A 26,071-nucleotide genomic window follows, 5' to 3' on the forward strand; every position below is an offset into this window, starting at 1 on the left:
AAGTAAAATGAGATTTTTTAATTTCAGTGAAAGAAGAGAAACAATCATACTTTAAATTCCTGGGGGATTAGAAAGTACCTGATGACCAGAAAGAGGAAGAGATTCCGAACCAATTGTTAAACTTTAAATCCCATAAATAATTTATTCAAATCAAAATACCAATATATAATAATTATGGTGATAATAATGGAAGTTCTGTATCTCTTGGAAGATGTTGCAAATAATGGACAATAGAAACAATAGGCTTAACCTTTTAACATGCCTGCCTGTCTTCTTTCCTTCCTTGCATTCTCTCATTCTTTCTTTTTCATGAGAAATTGGTACTTTGCTTTCTCTCAGATTAGTTGTTGATCCATGTATAACGTGTATTACAAAGATGAACTGGCCTTTTTAGACCAAATAGAAATTCCTGTTTCTTGTTTTTATATCTCAGAGTTGTAAAAGCAGGAAGGAAAAATTATGTGAGAACAAATGCTTTTCCATTTCTTCATTCTTTTTGTTACACTTACTATTCAAATGATAGCAGGCAGACATTATATTTCTCATTGGACAATCTCCCAAGTAGTTGTGTAACATTATGTGACAAACTTGGCTGTGATCAGAGGAGGGATTGAGATAAAATAAGCATTTGTTGGTTGAAAGAGGAAGGAGTTGTTGTACATTTTTTTGATAATGAAGTGTACACATACTTACTCATAACCTTGTAAGAACTAAACTTCGGAGAAGTAAAGATGACAAATTATAGCTTACTGAGAAGAGTTCAGTTATCTGAAGATTGACAGTGGTTGAATTGGTTAATATAAGAAGTATGAGAAAGGTGCCAAAAAGGAGAGAAATGTGAGCTAGAGATAGGGACTACTTGGCTTTGTTTCTTTGTGATAGTCACACTTATTGGAGGATTTGTTTGGTAAAACCAACAATTATGTATGACCCTTGTAAGGTGGTGAGTGAGGATGGTTGTTACTGGTCAAGCAGTACTTAATAAAGGTTTCTGGCCATGATTTTTTAAGACATACCTATACCAAAGAATTGAAATCTGAAATGGTACAGTCAGACATATATTAGACTTCTCTGTCCTTTTATTTCCAAAGTAACTTTAGAAAGGGCATAAGCTTTAAGGTTCAAAGTTGCATCTTAACAGATCTTAAGAGAACTACACCAGTGGTTTTTGTTTTAGATATTTTAAACATATATAGATATAGATCTATAGATACGCATGCCATTGTTTTCAAATACTTGTTTAGCATTTGAATCCTTTCTTCAAATGAGTTTGTACAAAAGCCCCATATATAAATAGACAAATAGGTAAGGTTATATAAGATGGTACCATATGTCATTCAAAACTGTGTGTCCATTCTGGTACCCCACTCTTGTCTGGAATCCCTGAGATACTGGGAACAGTTTGAAATCTTTAAGGTTCGCAGTGCCCAGAAGGTGATACAAATGATTTACCTGCATTAATTGCCCTGTTGCTGTTTGGAATCACCTTGTGATCATGCTTAAGAATGTGGGCACCAGAGTCAAAGCTACCTTGATCAAATCCCATCTTGACCACTTCATGGCTGTGTGACTTTGGACAACTTATGTTACATATTGTGCCTTAGTCTAATCATATGTGTAGTGTCCTGCCGCAAAGGAGTGTGTATGTGTGTGATGATTAAATGAAAAATAGGATCATAGTGTCTGACATGTTTTTTTAAAACAATAATTGTGCAGAAGTAGTGTACACAACATAAATTACCACTCCCCTTCTTGAACATCTTTTTCTTCCTTCAGCACACCATTTCTCCACCTCAAGGCCTTTGCACTTGATAGTTTCTTTGCCTAGGACAGCTCTTTAACTCTTTGAATTGCTGGTTACCCCCATCCTTAAAGACTTCACAGATGTTTTAAGATAGGACCTCATTTATACCCTGCTTACAGCAATCTCTACCCCTTCCTCCTTCCCTTCTTCCCATTTTACTCTTTTATTTATCTGAATCTTTTCTCCTCTACTCCCCCCAGCTCTTGTTTCAAACTGTAATTACCTGGTTTGTGTTTATTGTATTTAAGTTCCAAAAGAGCAGAATTTGCCTGTCTTTCCAGTGCTCTATTTCCAGTGCCTAACAGAAACCTGGTACACTATGGTTGCTCAAGGAGTTTTTTGAAAACATGATTATTACCTTGTAAAAATGAAAACAAATCAATGTCAGATATAGAATAACCACCTTTAGAGGCACATTTTTCTAATATCTTGTCATGCAAGACTTCCTGGGATTCTCTTAAAGCTGTGCTGTCAAACTGTCATTATGCTCTCTCTATCCATGGGAGACAACCCTGAGCCCTCACTTGGAGTCTATGTGTGGTTATTTTGATAGATAGAAACTTTAGTTAACCTGTTTCTCAACTCAGAGCAAATTAGGACCCTGGCTTTGCCTGGCCTTAAGGGGGCACTGTGTTGAAATGTAATACTTGGTACAGTGCTCCACCTCGCTGCCTTTTGCTGCACCTCTTTACCCTCCTTTACTACTAATATTTGCTGTTCTTTTATCACCATCATTGATCAAAGCTTCTTTCCTCCCTTTTCTTATTTTCTTTCTGTTCCTGATTGATTCTTTTCTGTTTGTTGGATTTAATTTGCAAAGGTTAAACTAAACCAGATTTGTGTTGTCTTGTTAAAATTACATTTGTGAACTGAACATTTTTGGAATGTGGGACATGTTTGTCGCTCATTGTGGCCACAGCATTATGGCTAACAATATATTGTTCTTCCACTTAATTTATTCTTAGGCATTTCTAATTATTAATATTTCTTTCTGATACGGTGTCACTTTTAATGAGGACTGAAAATGTTAATTAAACATACGAAACCCTTTGCCACCTCAAAATTTGTTTTGAAGATATAAAAGCCTTAGGTTAATTTTAAGGCTGAGATATAATTTTTAATTTTTTATAATTATGGGTACATAATAGATTTATCTATTTATGGGTTATATGTGATGTTTTGGTACAGGCATACAATGTGTAGAAGTCAAATCCAGGTAATTGGCATAGTCATCACCTCACGCATTTATCATTTCTTTGTTTTAGAAACATTTCAATTCCAATCTTTTAGTTATTTTAAAATATGTGCTAAATTATTTGTTGTGCTATCAAATACCAGATCTTTTTTCTTAAATACTAGATCTTATTCATCCTAAGTATATTTTTGTATCCGTTACCCCTCCCCACATTTTGCCCCCCTCTCTACCACCCTTCCCAGCCTCTGGTAATCATCATTCTGCTCTCTATCTCCATGAGTTCAATTGTGTTAATTTTTAGCTCTCACATATGAGATATAACATGTAAAATTCGTCCTTCCATGCCTGGCTTATTTTACTTAACATAATGACCTCTCCAGTTCCATCCATGTTGTTGTAAATGACTGAGTCTCATTCTTTTCTTTATGGCTAAATAGTACTTTATTGAATACAAGTACCACATTTTCTTTATTCATTCATCTGATGATAGACACTTAGGTTGCTTCCAAATCTTGGCTATTATGAATAATGCTGCAATAAACATGAGAGTGCAGGTGTCTCTTTGGTACACTGATTTTCTTTCTTTGGATATGTACCAAGCAGTGGGATTGCTGGATTATATGGTAGTTCTATTTGTTTTCTTGAGGAACCTCCATACTGTTCTTCGTAGTGGCTGTGCTAATTTACATTTCCACCAACAGTATAGGACTGTTCCCCCTTCCCCACATCTTAACCAGCATTTGTTACTGCCTGTCTTTTGAATACAAACCATTTTAACTGAGGTGAGATGTTATCTGATTATAGTTTTGATTTGCATTTTTCTGATGACTAATGATGTTGAACATCTTTTCATATACCTGTTGGCCATTTATAGAGATATAATTTTTTTTAACCTAAGATTAAAAGTATATTGTGGTATTTTGCTTCAGGACATAATCATGAGATTTCTTTGTTGTTGTTTTGAGTGTAAATTAGGTGTTTCAATATAAGATGAAATAAATCTGAAACCAAATGTATCAAATGATTGGATCTCTGACAAGATCTATGGAAGGAAAATGCAAAGGCAGCTCCTTGTGACTTCCCCTTTTTATTTGTAAAAGCCCTGGTTTACAAATAGGTTGATATTCCTAGTGTTTGTTTATGTAAGGAAATAATGCAGTATTTACTGGATACACCTACCAGCTCATAAAGTTCTATTTAAGCTGAGTTTTCTTTTCTTTACTTTCTTTCTTTCTTTTTGTTTCTTTTAAAGACGGGATCTTGCTCTGTAACCCAGGCTGGAGAACAGTGGTGCGATTATAGCTCACTGCAGCCTCAAACTTCTGGGCTCAAGTGATCCGCCTGCCTTAGCCTCCTGAGTTGTTGGACTACAGGCATGTGCCACCATGCCTGGCTAATTAAAAAACTTTTTTTTCTTTCCCCAAGCTGTTCTCGAACTCCTGGGCTCAAGCAATCCTCCTGCCTCAGGCTCCCAAGTAGCTGAGTTTACAGACCTAAGCCACTACATCAGCCATATGCTTTAATGTTTTTGAATACCGTATTGTACTAACTGTGCTAGAACCCAAAAAACATAACCATTTTTTTCCATAAATTGAATTCCAAAATTTAATATCTTCTTGCTACCTTAGGAGACGGTCTCTTTTTCCCTAAATGCCCCTTGCAGAAAAAGTTCATTAGCTCTAAAAATCAGGTTAAGAGAAGTTGGAGGAGGTGTGTTTTTGTTTTTGTTGTTAACTTTTATGAAAATTTCAAATAAACCAAAAGTAAAAGACCATAATGAATTAAACTACCACCAAATATACTTAGCAATTTTTTGTCACACTTGCTTCAAAACAGATTCTTTTATTATAGTTAAAATAGTAAAACTTGCATTGACAGTATTAAAAGAAGGAGGATATATGTGAGATTGGACATCGTTTTTTACTCCTTGATTTCTCTTTTATTTTTATTTTGGTGACTGCTAATTTTTAAAACATTATTTCTAAGCCAGTTCACCTAGCTTTATTGGGGGAAAACTATAATTGTGTGTGAGAGTATGTGTGAGTGTGTGAAATTTTCCATAATAGAGTTTGCATATATATGTATTATGTTACTCATATGTGTCATTATGTATGTAAATCATATAAATTTTATAAGTACATATTTATAAATATATGTATAGATAATAAGCTATATCTACGTATATATACCCTTCATTATGGAAAATTTCAAACATACAGCAAAGTAGAGCTAATACTGTAATGAACCTCCATGAATACATCACTCAGCTTCAACAGTTTTCAGTTTATGATTCATCTATAACACTCTCCTTTCAGCTATTTAAATATTTAAAAAAATATGTAAGTAGGGCATGCCAAAATTGAAGACTACCTTTGTACATACAGGTGTTTGAGTTTAATGAAGAAGGGAATAGAAGACAAAAATTAAAGTAAGTGTTGATACTAGTATGCTAAAAAGGAGTAATTAGCTAAGCAAGCATTAATTGAACCTCATGAGTGAACTGCCAGAAACTATGAGATAACTCCAAGATACAAAAATTACTAAGAAAATGTAGTTCATTGTGAGGTGAACTTCAGTAGAGGTTTCAACATGTTTTAAGAGCAGAAATTAAGGTAGACTGGGAGGAGGAGGATGAAACATTAGAGAAGACTTCTTATAAAATGATTAGGAACTTCAGGTCTGAGATGATCGTATGAAGAAGTGAGAATAAAGTACTTGGCTATGGCACGTTTCTATGTAGACAGAGCCAAGGGCTGAGGAAAAGACCATGCTGAAACATCTCAAAAAGCAGGTGTGATAAATACATTCAGTTTTTAGTTATCTAAAAATGGAATGGAAAAGAGTAGTTATAGGATCAATATGGTCAATCCAAGTACCTTTTTTTAAAAAGTGATAAAAACAGATTTTATTCAGGAACTAATGCAATAGGGAAGAGACATCTAAGTATGGAACTGGGCTCAATTCTGAATACAACGAAAATGGAAGATTTGTAGTCAAGGAGCAGGGATAGGGTCAGTGGGTGGAAAACACGGATGTAAGGAAAGGAGTAGGGGGATTCTGGCTAAACTAGCTTTACAGGGATTCTTGCTGAAGGCAGACCAGGGTGACCAGATACCCTGGGGGATCCTGGGGATAAGGAATTTGATCATATTGAGGTGATCAGAAATGGAGGGTAGGGATTCTTTCTGAACTGACTTAACAGGATTCTTGCTGTAACTGGGCAGTCCAGGCCCAACAGGAACAGACACTGAAGCCCAAGGTCAAAGCCTAGTTGAGAAGAGGGTTTAGAGAAACCTAATGTTTGGTCAAGAGGAGAGTATTTGTCAACTAGGAAGAAAAAAATTACATAGGTATTGCTATGTCTTCTGACATGAACAGGCAGCTCTAATCCTGTGTAGACTGCACTGTCCAGAGATAATCACACTATAGGTTTTATTAAGTGGATTTTAAGGGTAGTCTTAAGGGGGGAAAAGGGAGAAAAAGTGTTACTGGAAAGCCTCATGCATTTTTTTTTTTTTTGGAAGAGGAGGTGTAAAAAAGAGAAGCAAATAAGCCAGTTATGCCTTCAATACTTTGGTGAAGCACTAAGTATCCAAGTATTTTCAGCATCACTAAGGGCTTTATTTTATTCTAGGAAAATGAATTATAGTGCCTACTACATTCACAACCCTTGCACAATTCTCATGCCCATCATCTTCTACTCACAGCACATGCAAAGAAGCCAAAACAGCCATGTTTTATATCATATGACCCTGCTCTTTTGGCTACAGGTATTGGATTACAAGCATGGGATCTCATGGCAGCCAACACATAGATTGTCTGTTACCTGTGATGTGTGACTTTGTACGAAATGATTTGAGCCAATCATATTCTTACTCATATTTACATGAACAGAGGAAAAGAAAATCAGGCAGCTAAAGCTGGAGGAAACAGAGAAGTCCTTGAGATAGATTTGGAGCCATGTATTAGGCTCAGATGCCTTATATTTGCTTTGGATTGAATTGCTAATGTTCCAACTGAGGTATCCTGGGAATTTGCATGAATGAAAATAATCAGACTATGCTTTGTTTAGTAACAACTCAATCTGTAACATAAGTTCATGATATGTTATAAATTTAGGTTAGGTGCTTCCTTTTTGAGATTATATATCATATATATTATATATAATATTAAATATATATTAAAATATTAAATATATCAATATTAAATATATTAATACATAATTATTTTATTAAACATATTAATATATATTAATATATGATATATTAATATATCATATATTAATATATTAAATATATTAATATATAAGTATTAAGATATTAAATATATATATTATATATCTCAAAAAGGAAGCACCTGATCTAAATTTATATATAATATAATATATAGCTAATTATATATGAGATATATAATATATAATTAATTATATATATTATATTATATATATATATGATGAGGAATGCAAGCAGTTCTTATATGTAATTACTCAACCTTGAACCAGAATTTTCTCTTAGGCCCCAAACAAACTTCTGTATTATTTAATTGTAGAATTTAACAGTAAGGAAAACTTTTTTTAAAAAATTTAGTCTTTGACACTTATCTCTATGAGTCAAAATTTTTGCAATTTTGTGAACCAAAACAAAATACAGAAGTAGATTCATGACATGGTTGGCATCATTGCAGCTATGATCTCTAACCTCAAGTTTAAGATTTTTGTGTTCATTGAAACAATGTAATTGTTCTTACTATTGACTAAGTGTTGTAAGTTTGAACTTACATTTATATTTTTAAAAATATTCTTGGCCTGGTGCGATGGCTCACGCCAGTAATCCCAACACTTTGAGAGGCTGAAGTGAGAGGATTGCTTGAGCCCAAGAGTTGGAGACCAGTCTGGGCAACAAAGCAAGACCTCATCTCTACAAAGCATAAAACATTAGCTGAGTGTGATGGCACACACCTGTAATCCTAGCTACTTGGGAGGCTGTGGTCAGAGAATCACTTGAGACTTGGAGGCTGAAGCTGCAGCTGTGATCGCACCACTGCACTGCAGAAGCATGGGCAACCGAAACAAAATTCTCATATGTCCTTTGAGTTTGTGAAGTACCAGATGCTGTGCTTGGTGTTGGAGACACAGTGATGTCTTCTTAGGAGTATTTATCTATTTGAATAGATATTAAGGAAACAGATGTGAAATTTTATCTATGTCAAGATGGAAAAATGACAGAATCTCTTAGAAATGTGTTGAAGTTTGCAGGATGAGTTAACTGGGATAGGGAGGGAGACATCAGTGATACAGGCAGAGGGGATTAGCAGTCTTAACGATCCTGTAACAGGAAGGAATGAGGTGAGCTTGGAGGACTGAAAGATGGAAAGAAGAGAGGTAATACGGTGTGAGATGAGACTAGAGTTATGTATGAGGTAGACTGTGTGGTTTTGACCATTATGTTAAGAAGTGGAGGTTTTTCTGCTTTAATTTTAAAGTGATGAAGTCTTTGAATAATTCAGAGAGTTGCAATATGATCACATTTACATTTTGAAAAGAACTTCCTTCTTGTGGCAGAGTGCACAGATTGGGGAACTAGAAGTGGGCAGAATGGATGTAAAGAGACCAGTTAGAGGCTATTTCAGTAGTCTAGTTAAAAGATGATAGCTTGGATTACAGTGCTAGTAGCAGAATAAGAAAATAGTATACAGATTTCAGAGATATTTAGGAAGTGACAACCTTGTTATGATTTTTGTATAGGATGTGAGAGAGAAGGAACTTTCAAAAATGACACCTAGATTTCTTCAACTTAGGTGGCGGTAAGAGAATACTGAAAGCAGATATAGTGCATATGTTTGTTTTGGGAGTGGATGGTAGGTGTCTGATCAGGAGTTTAGTTGAATGTGGAGTCTGAGATGCATTTGTGACATTCAAGAAAAACATTCCACATGGGTAGTCACATAACACTGGTTTGGACATGAGAAGAAAGATCTAGTTAGGGAGATGATATTAGTGAATTGTGGGCATACTGGTAATAATTGAAGACTTGGGTGAATGACATCCTTTCGGCAGAGATTTTAGAGTGAATTAATAAGAGTATCTTAGGTAGAGGAGGCTACCTATACAGAAAACAGAGAAGATTAGAGAGGTGGGGGTAAAAAAATCAAGAGACTGTTGTAGTCATTAAAGCCAAAGGAAGAATGATTTGATAAAGAGGGAGAGGCCAAGAATTATATAAAATGGAAAGTGAAAAAATACTTGTCAGGAAAACTTTATGAGGTTGGACTCTCATGGTTCCTGGTTTTTAAAATGTGTTATTAGCAGTCCCTTGAAGTCAGTTTTTTAAAATGAAAAATTAGGTTGAAAATTTAAAACCTTGGTATTCTTGCTAAAATACTAGGCCTCTTCCATTAAAATATTTCCAGAAGTTTCGGGGGGGTGTTACTCTTTCTGGGGTATACTCAACTTTGTGTGGTGAATCTCTTAGTTTAACTGTTGTTTATGAGCTTATCTGGGTAGAGCTATTTTTAGTTTTTGCTTCTATTGCTAATCCAGGTGTTTGGATCTTGTTTTCAATGTTAATTTCTTGTCTTGGGAATTCTTTGTAAATTTAGACCCTTGATGCTTAGCACAGTGTTTAATTTAGCTTTTTTTATTGGAGCCTTTTAAGCCTTTAGATAGAGAAGAACTTTGTCACTTCCATGGTGGTGGTTAGATTGTTTTCCATCTTTTACTAGACAGCCTTTCCATAATCCTCGCTTTGTAAATACAATCACTACTTTGTTTCTGGCATTTGAAGATATCCCTTTTTAAATTCTGATCTGGTAAATACTTCTTGGAAGAGGAAGGGAGCAGGGTAGCATTTCTAGCATTAGCTTAGCTTTCCATGTTGTTGGCACACAAAGTTATTACTTAAAATTCTGATTTTAAAATTCCCCTCAGAAATTTGGATATATTACTCCTTTGCCTTATTAGCAATCCAGTGGTTCCACTGAGAAGGTATTAATCTAATTTTGTCATTCCTTTGTAGAAAACCTTTCTCTCTGAATTAATGATTTTAAGTTGTACTTCAGTATTTTGAAATGTATTGGGATGTGTATGCTCTGCGGAAAAAAAATTTTTGTTTTATATCAGTGTAAGAACTAGACTACTTAAATTTTTTTATACTTTTTATCTTGTTCTAATTTGCTCTTCATTTTTGTCCTTTATGCTATTTAGCCTATCTTTTATTTTATCTTGGCAATTACAATTTTGCCATTCAAAATCTTAAATGGATCCTTTATCATAAGTCTGTTTCATTAACTATAGACTTTAAGTGCTTCAGAGATGCTGTATTGTTTGCTTATAGCTACACTAGTACTATCATAGGTACTGTTGTTAATCCCTGTTTTACAAATGAAGAAACTAGAATGCAGAGAACATAAGTAACTTGCCCAACCAAGGTCACATAGCTGGTCAGTGTGGAACTAACATTCAAACCTATGCAGTATGATGCTAGAACCTGACCTCTCAACCTCTAGGTTATACTTCCTTTCAGGTCTGAAAGTTTAATATTAATAACTCTTTCAGAGTTAATATAACTCTGGGTTATATTAACCATCTGAATATATTCTCGCTTCTGTTTCTACAGTATTAATTTTTCTATTTGTTGATTTTGATATTTAGCTGTCATGGTGATTGCTTTTGTCAAATGCTTGATTTTTTTGGGGGGGGGATATGTTGCTTATTTTAGTATTGGAAAAGACTGTAAAAATGCTACAAAGCTTGCATCTAGTGATTGTTGGAGTTGAGATCATAACTTGCTGCTGGAAAGGATGTATCAAACTGATCTGGGGTATAAGGATTTCCTGTTCATCTTGTATCCAGCATCGTTCTGCTTCTTGACTCACTTGTCTATGTGTAGTGCTTCTACCTCAGGCAGACACCTCTGATGCCCACTTCCCTGCTTCGAAATAGTAGGGGGAAGGGGATTGACCTGACTGAGTATACCTAATGGCATTACCCTGAGGATTGCTCCAGGCTTTTCCCCTGCCCATGACAGCTGCTTTATACTAAACATGGAATATCCCTGGAATTGCCCTCTATGGTTTGTGGTTTTCTTCTGCCTTTCATTTTGGGCCCTGGTTTCTTCAATTTCATTTTTTCTCATTTGTCTCAGAAATTATAATTTCTTTTTCTATAAGGCCATATTCTTGTTTTATAGTGCTGCTATGGTTTATTCTCTTTATATTTTTAGTGCTATTATAGTTTAAAGCCAATGTTTTTAGGGTTGCAGGATTTTGGGCAATTCTGGTGAGTGTACCGTTTCTTCCATTTTGATGTTATCTTCTGTCAGCAGTTCTTAATCTTTTGAGATTTATGAACTTCTTTATAGCCCTCTACCACCTGGACCCCAAGCAATGGCTAAATGTTATTTTGAACATTACTAGTTTTGTAGGTGTGGGTTTGAAGTTGGGGGCGTTTTTATTTATGTAGAGGTATAAGCATGTTCTTTTGATATCTTCAGATTATGTTATATAAGTTTGATGAAAACGCTCTGAAAGATACATTTATGTAGCCACAGAGTTTAATATAAAGAAGGAGCTATTTCTATTAAGCAGTTTTATAACATTTCTTTTTATCTCTTTTCTCTAGGTTTAACTATAGATCAACACATCATCTTGCATCTCATGGGTTCTATGAATTTTTAAATTGGTTTGATGAAAGAGCATGGTATCCACTAGGAAGAATAGTAGGTGGTACTGTAAGTATATTAGCAGTTCTTTATGTTAATTATAACATTTATTGTTACTTGAGTAAATCATTAATTGCCAAGGTGGTAGGGATTCTTGAAAGCTTTGTATAGTTAACAAATTTTTCTGTGGCTTATTATCCAGTATTCAGTTTACTTAGGCTCTTTTCTTGATACCTCCTCCCCTTAATCCCCAACCTGTTTTTGGGTTGTCTCACACTAGCCACTCTTTTTGACAAGTGGTGGAGGCTGGGTGGGGATCTGCTGTCACAGTGTATCTGAATGAAGTTCAGTTTATTTGTGTATTTGCTCTTATAGCAATTTGGTTGAAAAAGCAATTTGGAAGGAGATAGAAACGTAGAATAATCATGATAATTATATATCTAGAATAATCAGATAATTAGGATTTTTCAGGCCCTGAATATGGAGACATTCCAAATTATTCCAGGTAATTGACTAAAGATTATAGTTCATGCAGACTTCTGATATCCAGAAAGATGACACAAAGGCAAATATTTTTAGGATTTGGGACATAAGGAGAAATGAAGGTGAAAGACAAAGCAACATTGTCTTGTATCGGAGAAATATATGTTTGATTTTTTTAAATCAATTTTGCCAGGCTTATTCATTTTATTAGGGTTTTTCTTAACCCAAAGAAACTTCTGACTCTGTTGATTACTTCTAGCATAGGTTTGTTTTGCATTTTTTAAATTTTAATTTATTTTCTTCTTCTTTTGTGAGTTTATTTTCATGTTCTTTTTCTGACTTCTTGAGATGGTTTCTCAGTAATTTTCAACTTTTCTTCATTATTAAGAGATGCATTTTAAGCCTAGAAACTACACACTAGCCACTGTACTAGCTGCATTTCATAAGTTCTGATGTGTAGTATTTTCATTATCATTTAAAACAAAATGTATCTTTATTTTCATTATAATTTCCCTGACTCATGGATTATTTAGAATTGTATTTAATTTCAAACATAAGGGGATTACCCAGTTATGTTTTTTTGCTTTGTACTTCAAATATATTGTGGTTAGAGAACACCTTCTATGTAATTTCAATCCTTTAAAATTTATTGAGACTTGACTTGTGGCTTAGGATATATCCAAATTTTTATAAATGTTCCCTTTGTGTTTAGAAAGAACATGTTCTCCATGATAGTAAGGTGTTGTGTTTCTAGTCTGGGGCATCTTCTTATCCTTGATGTAAATAGAGAGAAAGACATAAAGAGATGAAGGCACAATAGTCGTTATCATGTTCTGCATTGTGAATTGGAGAAGTATTAAATGGGTAGTACATACGGCAGATAGCTATTATCTGCAGTTCTTGTGGTGCTAATCTTATCATATACCTAAATTGTATTACATTTGATAACTATAGTTTTTCTTGTGCAGTTTATAACTTTATCTTAAATTAATCCTCAGTGGAAGCCTGTTTTCTCTAAGAGTCCTGATGTCCTGAGATTTGGGATCATCCCTGTAATAATCTTTCTTATTTGCCTTTGCTGGAGAATTTTAGGGGTTTCACTGGTTTTAGGACAGTTTTACTTAGTTTGAGGTTTCTTATACTTAAGGTTATTATAAATGTAGAACCCACATTGACACATTTGAATGAGTTTCATATTCTCCTTTAGGACTTTGTTTCTGCTCTGAGCATTGGAAGGCTTGATGGATGAATAGAATTTGTCTAGTTTCATAAGCAGGTCCTGACTTTTTGCTGGTAATTAGGTCTTCACTCTGATCCCTGTGTTGGGTGAAACCCCCTCATTTTCATTCCTTAAGGCCTGTATCAGGCCTGGTTATGTTTGGCTTTTTTCTTCTCTCCTGTGGGCTCCCATGACATCAGCACCTACTTTGAATTTCCTCTTCATTTTTGGCATCTGGAGAATACCCTATCTTGAGCTTGATTATGCTTTTTTTGTTGTTGGGGTTTTATTTGTTGATTTATTTTTGGTTCTTTCATTTAGTACTTCTATGAATCTTGGCTGTTTTTGTGTGTGTCAGTTCAGTCTACCGTATTATATGGATATATTGTCTTATCTTGAAAAATATTTTAAATTCACTTTGTTTTTTTTTCCCCCCCAGTATTGCTGACAAAATTACACACTGGTACCTAGTATTGAATCTGAAGTAGAACAGAATTTTTATGTGTTGAGAATGTGGATGAATTATCATGCTTTTTTTTCCTCCCCCTCCCCCTTTCTCCTTCCATGCATGCAGTAGGTATTGAGCATCCACTTTGTGCCAGTTATTTTTCTGGATGCTGGGGAAAAATTTCCTGCTATTCTGGAGCTTATATTCTTGTGAGCGTAGGCAGTTAATAAATAGAAAGTAAATAAATAAAATAAATAGTACGTCAAATGATGATAAGTATTATGGAGAAAAAGCAAGAGAGTTAAAGACGGGAGTGTGGGGGAGAGAGGTTGCAGTTGCAAATTGTATAGCCAGGAAAGGAAATGTATAACCTTTGTAGTTTCTGTTATGGAGTAAAAAAAGAGTCTTTTAGGACTTACCTAAGGGAGCAGATGTAAATGCATGTTTTAGTCACTGAATAATAACTCAGGAAGAATGTCCTGTTCACTGTTCTTGAATCCTTTTAATATTTGATGTTCCTCTTTTAGAGTGAGGGTACGTATAACTGTTAACTGGCCTCTTCTAGTTTATTATTTCCCTTTTATCCCTAAGTACTTTATGTGGTATAAAAAATTTAATTTTTCAGGAGTCCCAAAACATTATCTCTGGATTCACCAACTGACTCTTCCCTCTTTTCCTAGCTAGACTGTTCCCTCTTTTCCTTGCTTACTTTCCAAATCTAGGGCTTGAAAGGAGGGAACATTTTTTTATAAATATGACTTAAATAATTTTGTGTGTAATTTTTCTTTATCTTCCTTTTCTCATTTTCTTATGTACACACAAGTATGGGCAAAATTGGAGTATGTTAGAACTCCAAACTCAAGGATAAGCTAGACTAAGACCCTGTTTTGATAAAAAAAAAAAAAAAAAAAAAAAAAAAGTTAGTGGGATCAGTAAAAAAGTTACCTACAGTTAACATTGTTAAACATTTTGAATTTTAATCATTCTTGTTTCATATTCTCCCTGATCTTTTTATGTATTCCTCCAGATATGAGCTAGTTCTTTGTATGCAACACAAAAAGGTGTGGGTTTTTTTTTGTAGTTTATAAAGAAGGCAAATTGTTTTGAGATGTTGCTTTCAAACTTATGTAAGGTAAACAAAATGTAATGATGAAGAGTACATACATTAATATTTTTGTGTCTCATTTTATATGTAATTAAATTTTCCATTTTTTTCTTCCTAGGTTTACCCAGGGTTGATGATAACCGCTGGCCTTATTCATTGGATTTTAAATACATTGAACATAACTGTTCACATAAGAGACGTATGTGTGTTCCTTGCACCAACTTTTAGCGGCCTTACATCTATATCTACTTTCCTGCTTACAAGAGAACTTTGGAACCAAGGAGCAGGACTTTTAGCTGCTTGTTTTATTGCTATTGTACCAGGCTACATATCTCGGTCAGTAGCTGGATCCTTTGATAATGAAGGCATTGCTATTTTTGCACTTCAGTTCACATACTATTTATGGGTAAGTGACATTTAATGTTTTGCTGCCATTATTACTCGTGACCTTTCTCCTGAAACACTTTAGGCTGTACGCAGATTTGTCTTTTACAAATTATGTAGTTGCGTACAGAGATCTGTATTACTGTTCATAATCAATTTAATAATGGATAACATTTTAAAATATGTTAGGCATCTCTCAAGTTATGTGTAAATATCCTTTTTAAATAAGTCAGAACTCCAAAAGAAGAGCTATCATAAAACAATCTGTTGATATTTTTGTTTCTTTGTTTTGGGGAGATAGGTAAGAAATAGTTACCCAGGAAAGTTGAAGCATGGTTTGATGGCTAAGAATTTTAAATTGTTTCTGAAACTAGCATTATTTATTTTGCTGCTGCCAGGCTATTTAAACTTAATGATTTTTTCCCCTGTGTATGAAATATGATGCTACTTGGGTTCACTTTAGAGCTTGCATTTATTTATGTATTTATTATTTTAGCTTTAGCTTGTAATTTTCCAGTGATAGAAATTACCAAAATTTGTGTGTGTCAATATGTTTTTGTATATTTTATTAAGTATATTTTTAGGTAGCTAGGTGAATGGCAGCATAAATTTTCTCTTTAATAATTATTTTATATTGTTCAAAACTACTTGGCTAATGAGTATTTTTGCTCTAGCATGGAATTCTGGAGGAGAAGGTTGCAATGTGATCAGTATAGACAGTGTCTTAATCTTGAGTTTAAAAGAGAAGAAAGAAAAATACCCATTCAAGTGAAGATGATACCAAGCAGTAGGATGTTGCCAGTGCTGCTGTACTTATCAAAAAGTGTTTTTAAAAACTCTTTGTTTATTGTGTGCAGCTGAGGAGAAAAAAAAAAAAACACCTTAAAATCGAGAACCTCTGTTGAATGCCTTTTAATAAACTATATAATATTTTAAATCATAAAAATAATACATGCGTATGTGGCTAGATCCTGATAATATAATGCTTAGTGGAAAAATAAGTTGTGATAAAATATGTGCAGTATGAGAAATCCTTGATGTAAGTTTTTAAGCAGTACAAATCATACTATGTCTGTTAATAGCAGTTTATAAAGAAAGTATAAAAATGTGATAGATAAGCTGCATGTACGCCAGCTTTGTGATAATGGGTTTTCCTGAGGGTGGGTGGGTGATACTGAGGTGGGCAATATTAAGGGAGCTTCACCTAGCTCAGCTAAAAAAATTTTAAATCAAATATTCTGAAGCAAATGTATAATTTTTGAATTTGAAAGTCTGAATAGCTAGGTTCATAACTATTTTAATATTCTCTACACTTGTGTATGTTTCAAATACTTTATAATAAATTTAAAAAATAAAATATTCTATTTTGTGGACATTTATGCAACAGAAAAATACAAAGAAAAAAATCACCCACAGTGAACTACCATTTGCATTTTTTAATTTTGAGCACATTACATTCATGAATAAGTCCCAGTTGGTCATGGTATATAATCTTTTTCATATGCTGCTGAATTTGGTTTGCTAGTATTTTCCTAAGGATTTATGCATCTGTGTTCATAAGGTGATATTGGTTTATAATATTCTTTACTTGCAGTGTCTGTCTGTCTTAGGATTAGGGTAATGCTGGCATCATAGAATGAGTTAGAAGGTGTTCCCTTCTCTTCAGTTTTTGGAAAAGATTGAGGAGGATTAGTGTTGGTTCAGTTCTTTAAACGTTTTAGTAGAATTCACCAGTGAAGCCATCAGGACCAGGACTTCTCTTTTTTGGGAGATTTCTGATTGCTGATTCAGTCTCCTTGCAAGTTGTCTCTGCAGATTCTCTATTTCATCATGACTTAGTCTTGGTAGGTTTTTGTGTTTCTATTAATAGGACTTTGTTGATGTAAGCTATTCAATTTGTTGGCATACAAGACTTGATAATACTCTCTTAAAATTCTTCTTGTTCCCTATGGAATCAGTAGTAATGTCCCGCTTTCTGATTTTAGTGATTTGAGTCTTCTCTCTTTTTTACTTAATCTAGCCAAAGATTTGTCAATCGTGTTGCTCTTTTTAAAGAACCAACTTTTGGTTTCATTGATTTTTTTCTGTGTTCTTTTTCTTTTCTCTCTTTTAGTGTATATGCTGCTGAAGCAAGCACTCTATTTTATCTCTGTTATAGTCTTTATTATTTATTCAATTTTGTCTTTCTGGAAGCTTTGGGTTTAGTTTGTTCTTTTTCTTTCCTTCTTTTTTTTTTTTTTGGAGACGGAGTCTTGCTCTGTTGCCCAGGCTGGAGTGCAGTGGCGCAGTCGGCTCGCTGCAACCTCTGCCTCCCAGGTTCAAGCGATTCTCTGCCTCAGCCTCCCGAGTAGCTGGGACTACAGGCGCCTGCCACTACGTGTGGCTAATTTTTGTATTTTTAGTAGAGATGGATTTTCACGATGTTGGTCAGGCTGGTCTTGAACTCCTGAACTCGTGATCCACCCACCTCGGCCTCCCAAAGTGCTAGGTTTACAGGCATGAGCCACCGCGCCCAGCCCTAGTTTGTTCTTTTTCTAGTTCACAACGTAGTTTGTGAAGTCAGGTTTTTGACTTGAGATTTTTTTTTTTGTTTTTGAATGTAGGCATTTATAGCTATAAAGTTTTCCCTTAGTACTACTTTGACGGTGTCTCATAAGTTCTGATACATTGTGGTTTTGTTTTCATTCATCTCTGAGTATTTTCTCATTTTTATTTTTTGATCTGTTGGTAAGTATCTTGTTTAACTTCCACAAATTTATTTCCCAGTTTTCCTTCTGTTATTGATTTCTGACTTCATCCTGTTGTAGTTGGAGAAGATACTTTGTATGGTATCTGTCTTTTTAAATCTATTGAAATTAATATTTGGCTTTAATCTGCGGCCCAACATATTGTCTGTCCTGGAAAATGTCCCATGTGTACTTGAGAAGAATTGTGTATGCTGTCGTTATTCAATAATGTGTTTTGTGCATGTCTTTTAGACCTAGTTGGTTTGTTGTGTTAAGTTCTATATCATCTCCTGTCTGGTTGTTCTATCCATTATTGAGAATAGAGTATTGATGTCACCAGCTATTATTGTAGAACTGTTTATTTCTTCAATTCTGTCAAGTGTTTTCTTCCTATATTTTGATGGTCTGTTATCAGGTACATAAATGTTTGCAATTGCTATACCTTCTTGCTGTATTGAACTGTTTTATTGCTGTATATATTGGGTTCTTTCTCTTTTGTAACCTTTTTTTTAAAAAAAAAATTCAAAGTCTGTTTTTTCTTTTTTAATTTTGTAGAGATGAGGTTTCACCATGTTGCCCAGGCTGGTCTTGAACTCCTGGGCTCAAGCAATCCTCCCTCCTCACTTCCCAAAGTGTTGGAGTTACAGGTTTGAACCACCACACCCTGCCTTTTTTTGTTTCATTTTGTTTTGTTTTGAATTTTATAGAGTTAAAGTCTGTCTTTTCTCATATTAGTATAGCCATCCCTGCTCTCTTTTGGTTACTATTTGCATGGAATAACTTTCTGTCCTTTCAGTCTCTTTGTCTTTGGATTTAAAGTGCATCTCTTACATAACTGCATGTAGTTGGATCATGTGTTTATTCTTTCTGCCAATCTCTGTTTTTGGAGAGTTTAATACACATTGGAAGTAATTACTCGTAAAGAGGTACTGATTTCTGTGGTTGTGCTGTTTTCTACATGCCTTATAGCTTTTTTTTTGTCCCTCATTTCTCCATTAGTCTTCTTTTGTGTTTAGTGGATTCTTTTGGTAGTGAAACATTTGAATCCCTTTACTTTTGAGCATATTTGTGGATTGCCTTTTCACTCTGGATAGTGTCCTTTGCATGAATTTTAAATTTTTATGAAGTCTAATTAATTTTTGTTGTTGTTGTTGCTTGTGCTTTTAGTGTCATATTTAAGGAAACTGTTGGCCTAATTGAAGCTCATGAAGACTTACACCTCTGTTTCCTTCTAAAGATTTTATATGTCAAGTTCCTCCACTTAGGTCTTTGATCCATTTCGAGTTAATTTTTGTATATGGTGTGAGAGAGGAATTCCAACTTCATTCTTTTGCATGTGGATATCCACTTATCTTAGCACTGTTAAAGAAAAATACTCTTTTTTGTTGAATGGTTTTAGCACTTTTGTCAAAAATCAATTGATTATAAATGTATGAGTTTATTTCTGGACTCTCAATTCTGTTCCATTCCCTTGCCATCTGTATGTTGTGTCTTTATGCCACTACCGCACAGTTTTGGTTACTGTAGCTTTGTAATGAGTTTTGAAATCCAAAAGCATAAGTCCTTCAACTTTGTTGTTCTTTTTCAAGATTGCTTTGGCTATATGGGGTGCCTTGCATTTTCATAAGTTTTAAGATTAGCTTGTTCATTACATCTTTTTTTTTAAGTGGCATGATATTGTTTTGTTAATTCAACAGAAATTTTTGTAGAATACAATATGGAGCAGGTGCTGTTTTATGTGTTGATTACACAAGGTTATATGAAGTTGATAATCTAGTAGAAGAAATTATAGATATCATTGCTTTGAAGGATCATATTAACAGAAGGATGGAATGGTAAAACATTCTCACCCAGAAACTGGGAGGTTATCTAGTGAGTTTTTCCTTTGTTTTCTTTTTAAAAACAATATATTTAAATAAATTAGGTTTACGGTGGAAATAGATTCAGTATTTGAAAATTAGAACACTTGTGTTTGAGTTCTGGCATAAAATACTCTCTGACTCTTGACAAATTGACACTTTTGAATCTCATTCAGTTTTCTCTTAAGATACAGAAAACGTTTTGCCTACAGAATTATAATAGATGATGACATTCATTTAAAATTTCATTATTACTAATTGAAAGTGGAAATAATTACAGTTCTAACTACTATGAAAAGTTGTTTGTAGCCCAAATGAAGTTATAAAAAGGTGAAAACATTTTTTGTAATCTCTAATATATAAATGTTAAGTTGTCTAATTCCTCACCCAGTGTTTTTATTTTTAAACCAACTCTTTTAAAAGGTACATGTTTTTAAAATTTAAAAGATAAGTACTTTGTCATAGCATTATTATTTGTTGATGCCCTATTACTGTTACAAGCTGGTGTTGATAGACATTTTTGGATACACTTTTGGATTTGTGTTCTACAGAGATTAAAACATTTTCATCGTGATTGAGTGATTGAGAGTAAAGTCTATAGCATAATTGCCAGGGTTTGGTTTTCTCTTGGTTTGATTTCCAGCTCTGTCACTGGAGGTTGTTTAAATCCCCACCCTGTGCCTGTTCCATCAACTATAATATGGAAGTAATAATTGTACCTTCCTTATATAACTTAAAAATTAATACATGTAAAGGTATAGAATATTGTGAGAACATAGTAAGAAATGAGTACATGTTTGTTATTATTTACGAGCACCAGAGTATATGATTCAGAAAAGTAATTAACACAGATAAAGTAGTACAAGGAGCAGTGTTTATCATATTGCCTCTTACAGGTTTTGTTTTGTTTTGTTTTTTGTTTTGTTTTGTTTTGTTTCTTTAAGGTTCCCTCCTGTACCTTTGTAGTCAGTCTTCTCCCTACCCCATTTCTGGCAACCACTGGTCTGATTTCTGTTTCTCTGTCTATATAGCTTTGGGAGTTTCTTTTTTAGAATGCCATATAAATACAGACAGTAGGCGTGACCCTGTATATCCGTCTTCCTTCACTTAGCATAATATTTTTGAGAATGTCATCCATGTTGTTGATGTTTTAGTAGTTTGTTACTTTTTATTGCTGAATAGTACTCCATTATATGGATGTACTACAATTTCTTTTCCAGTTTTTGGCAATGATGAATTAAGTGGCTATAAAATGTTTGCTTGTGGGTCTTTGTTTGGACATATATTATTATTTCACTTAGGTAAATGCATAAGCACAGATTGGTGGTTTGTGTGATAAGTATAGGTTTAACTTTATAAAAAGCTGCCAAGCAGTTTGCCAAAGTTGCTGTATTCATTTTGCATTCCCTCCACAAATACATGACAGTAATATTTACTCTACTTTTCCATCAGATGGCATGGTCACATTTTTAAATTTTACCCATTCTTGTAGGTAGGTAGTAGTATCTTATGGCTTTCGTTTGCTTTTCCCCAATGACTGGTGAGCATCTTTTCACGTATTTATTTGCCATCCCAGTTCTTTGATGAAATGTCTGTTCATATCTTGCCCATGTTTTGATTAAGTTGTTTTCTTACTCTTGAGGTGTGAGAGTTCTTTGTATATTTTGGAAATACTTTATCAGATGTGTGCTCTACAAACATTTTCTCTAGTCTCTTCCTAAGAGCAGAAAATTTTGATTTTTATGGAATGTATCAGCTTTTTTTTCAATAGATCTTGCTCTTGGTATCTTCTCTAAGAGATCTTTGCCTACCCTAAATCACAAAGATTGTCTCATGTATTTACTTATAGAAATTAAATAGTTTTAGGTTTAACAGTCAGGTCTGTCATCTATTTTAAGTTGATTATGGTCTGGTGCAATATAAGGGTTGTTGGGTTTGAATGTTAGGTTTTTCCAACATCATGTGTTGAAAAGATTGTTCTTTCTCCACTGAATTATCTGCTTTGGTAACCTTGTCAAAATCAATTGAATATATACATATGGGTCTGTTTTGGGACTCTTCTGTTTATCTGTGTCTGTCTATATAACAATACCTTATGTTGTTTTCATTAGTTTCTAGAAACTCTTGAAATCAGGTAGCATGAGTAATCTAATGTTATTTCTCTTTTTCAGAATTAATTTGGCTTTTTTTAGCTGTTTGCATCATGTAAATTTTAGAATCACATTATTAACTTCTTTAACGGAAAAGCCTTCTGGGATGTTGATTGGAAGTGCATTGAATGTATAGGTCAGTTTGGAATAGAATTGTTATCTTAATATGTAGTCTTCTGATCTGTGAATATGGTATTTCTTTCCATTTATTTAGATCTTCTTCATTTTTGCTTTAATTTTTCTGGGCGATCAGGTTAGTGACTTGATCTATTTTAAGCACCGAAAGCTATAATTTTTCCTTTACGTACTTTAGCTGTACCCCATAAATTTTTTTATTGAAAAATAATTTGCATATTATAAAATTTATCCTCTTAGGGAATGGAATTCAGTGACTTTTAGTATATTAACCAAGTTGTACCATTACCACTATCCAGTTACAGAACATTTTAACACTCCAAAAAGCCTCGCCCATGATCAGTGACTTTCCATTTTCACATCCCCCCAGCCCTTAGCAACCGGTATTGCTTTCTGCCTCTCTGATTTGCCTATTCTGGAATTCCATATAAAAGGAATTATATAATATGTTGCCTTTTGTATCTTTTTTTAAAATTTTCAAATTAGATGGGTTCTCCTTATATTGCTCAGGCTGGTCTTAAACTCCTGGCCTCAAGCTACCCTCCCACCTCAGCCTCCCAAAGTGTGAGCGACCTTACCTGTTTTACATCTGGCTTCTTTCACTTACAATAGTATTTTCAAGGTTTGTCTATGTTGAAGTATTTATAAATACTTTATTTTTTTATTGCTGAATAATATTCCAGTGTATGGTTATCACATTGTATTTCTCCATTTTTTCAGTTGATTAAACATTTGGGTTCTAATTTCTGTCTATGATGAATAACGCTTCTGTGAACATCTGTGTGCATTTTTATTACATTTTAAACATTTATAAACATCTGTGTACAAATTACTATAAGAATTGCACAGAGTTTTTATGCTCTATTTTAATTTTCTAGCTCAGATATTTTCTAATTTCCCATGTGACTGACAGTGTCACCAAGGATGCTGAACTTCTATCCTACTCCAAATCTTTTTCATGACTACTTGGTAGGGCTTATGAAAAGAGCTTGTGAATGTAAATTCCTCTTATGTCTGGTTTCCTTAGCTGTTTTAACACTTGCTTATTTGCCTTGTGACTTTAGCTCTCTGATAAGCCTAAGAAAACTTACTATTTTGTAGATCATCTAGAATTTTTCCCTTATTGTTGAGGTGAAAATAACATTCTCTTGCAGCTTTCCACATCCCAAGCACAAGTGGAATTCAGTGCATCTCCTAATACTGTGAACCAAAACACAAGATGGCCCATGTTTGTAGGCCTAGAGCAATACTACTTTCCAATAGAACTTTCGACTCTGTTTAATAAGATAGTCACTGGCCGCATGTATATGGACTTTTTTTTTGTGCAGGTACTAGGTGCTTCACTATAATATAGGTAATAGAATTGAGTTTTACCCTTAAAATATTTGTCTCAAATATTTATTTCTTTTAAATCAGTTAGGAAATGTTAACTTATTCTAGAAACAGAGGACCTCATAATTTGTGAGAATTATGTAAAGTTAATTCCCTAAGCCTAATCCATTAAAAAAATCCTTTTACAAAAATGTCTCTTTAGTCATCTGGATGCACTACATTTCTGCTAGATTTGCTCAGTATAGAGGAAGAAAGCCATTTGTAAATTCTGTTGGAATACAGTTTTCATGCCATGTTTGGGCTACCACTAGATTTTTGCCTTTTATTCCAATGTAGATTTTTCCAGTGTTGTTTTCTAGAAAGTGTTGCACTTTACATTCATGTCTGTGATTCATTTTGAGTTATTTTCATGAAAAGTATAAGATCTGTGTCTAGATTGATTTTTTTTTGTATGTGGTTGTCCAGCTGTTACAGCATTATTTGTTAAAAAAATTATTCTTTTTCTATGTATTGCCTTTTGTCAAAGGTCAGTTTATATTTATGGGGCTCTATTTCTGTGCTCTGTTCTGTTCTGCTGATCTGTTTGTTCTTTTCCCACACTGTCTTGATTACTGTAGTTGTATGATAAGTCTTGAAGTCAGGTGTAGTATCAGTCTTGTTTCAATATCATGTTAGCTAGTCTCAGTCTTTTGCCTTTCCATATAAACATTCAAATTGATTTGTTGATGTCCACAAAGTCACTTGCTGAGATAAGGTTTGTTATCTTAACAACATTGTCTTCCTATCATAAACATGGAATATCTCTCTGTTTATTTACATCTTTGATTTCTTTCATGAGAGTTTGGTAGTTTTCCATATAGGGATTCCACACATATTCTGTTGGTTTTATACTTAAGTAATTCATTTTGTGTGTGTGCTAATACGTACTGGGTGCTAAATGGTATTATGTTTTTAATTTTAAATTTCAGTTCATTACTGGTATATAGGAACAAGTTTAACTTTCATGTATTAACCTTGTATCCTCCAGTGTTGTCTGTAATCATTTATTGATTCCAGTAATTTTCTTTCTGATTCTTTGGGGTCTTTTACGTAGACAATCATGTCATGCACGAAAAAAAGTCAGCTTCATTTCTTCCTTTTCAGTCTGTGTACTTCTTTTCTTTTCTTGTCTTATTGCATTTGCTAGGACTTCCATTACAATGCAAATAGGAGTGATGAGAGAGAACAACTGTATCTTGTCCTGATCTCAGGGGGCATGATTATGAATTTATTTCTGGAGTCTGTTCTGTTCCATTGATCTAGATGTCTATGCCTACCTCATAAACATAGATCTAGTTGTCTGTACTGACCCAATTACTATAACTTCATTGTACATTTTTAAATTGGGAAGTATTGTAGATTTTTATGTATTGATCATATATTCTGTGACCTTGCTAAATTTGCATGTTAAAATTTACTTTTTAGATTCCTTAGGATTTTCTACATACAAGATCATGTTATCTTCAGAGACAGAGGGTCTTTGCTACTTTTTTCCCAAACTGTATACCTTTAATTTTTTTTCCTTGCCTGGTTGTACTGACTGGAACCTCTAACATCACGTTGGACAGGGTACTTTTTCCTGCCCTATTTCCTGAAATAATTCTCGTAGGATTGGTATTACTTCTTCTTTAACTGTTTGTTTGGCAGTATTTACCATTGAAGCCATGTGGACCAGGGAAGATTTTTAATATGAATTAAGCTTTTTAATGACATCGTATTATTCAGATTTTCTTTTTTCATGAGTAATTTGGTAATATGTATCTTTTTAAAAGTTTTTTTATTTTATCTAAATGACCTAATTTGTCGGCAGAAATTGTTCATAATATTTCTTTATAAGTCTTTGGATTTCTGTACAATCTGTAGTGATGTCACCTTCCTTATTCCTGGTACTGATAATTTGTATCTTCTCTCCTTTCTTCATTAGTCTAGATAAAGCTTATCCAACTTTGGGTTTCACTGATTTTTTTTTCCTTTATATTTTCAATTGCATTGATTTCTTCGTCTTCATTATTTCCTTCTAATTCACACTTGGTTTACTCTTTTCTAGCTTCTTAAAGTTGAAGCTTAAGTTATTTTCTCCATTTCTACTTTTCTAGTATAACTATTTATACTAGAATATACTGTATTTACTTCTTTAGCTGTAGTCTCTGTGTTTTAATATGTGGTGTTTTCATTGTCATGTGGTTGAATATTCTTCGAATTCATAGTTTCTTTGACTCATGGGTTTTTTCTAAGCATGGTGTTTAATTTCCAAATATTTGGGGTTTTCTTAGCATACTTTTTTTTGTTGATTTCTAATTCTGTTGTTGAAGACCATACTTTGTATAATTTGTCTTTTTAAGTATATGGAGACTTGTTTTATGGTCTAGCACAGAAGTCTGTGAAGTATGGCCCATATGTAGGTTACCTGCTTTAGTAAATAAAATTTTACTGGAACACAGCCCTGGCCATTCATAAACATATACTGTCTTTGGCTTCTTTTACACCAGAATTACAGAGTTGCATAGTTGTGACAGATCTGGCTCCTAAGTGTAA

The 26,071-nt window shown here is 33.9% G+C and overlaps 1 protein-coding gene across 3 annotated transcripts in view; it reads left to right on the forward strand.

The window, feature by feature from the left end:
- STT3B (STT3 oligosaccharyltransferase complex catalytic subunit B) overlaps positions 1 to 26,071 on the forward strand; it is a 104,692-nt gene that overhangs the window by 31,855 nt on the left and 46,766 nt on the right. For all 3 annotated transcript variants that reach the window (NM_178862.3, XM_011533465.2, XM_017005858.2), the window contains exons 2-3: positions 11,617 to 11,725; positions 15,030 to 15,317. In NM_178862.3, the coding sequence (NP_849193.1) occupies positions 11,617 to 11,725; positions 15,030 to 15,317 (397 nt within the window). The remainder of the gene's footprint in view (positions 1 to 11,616; positions 11,726 to 15,029; positions 15,318 to 26,071) is intronic.

This window comes from Homo sapiens, chromosome 3 (genome assembly GCF_000001405.40).
Source record: "Homo sapiens chromosome 3, GRCh38.p14 Primary Assembly".
In the NCBI taxonomy this organism is placed as follows: Eukaryota; Metazoa; Chordata; class Mammalia; order Primates; family Hominidae; genus Homo; species Homo sapiens.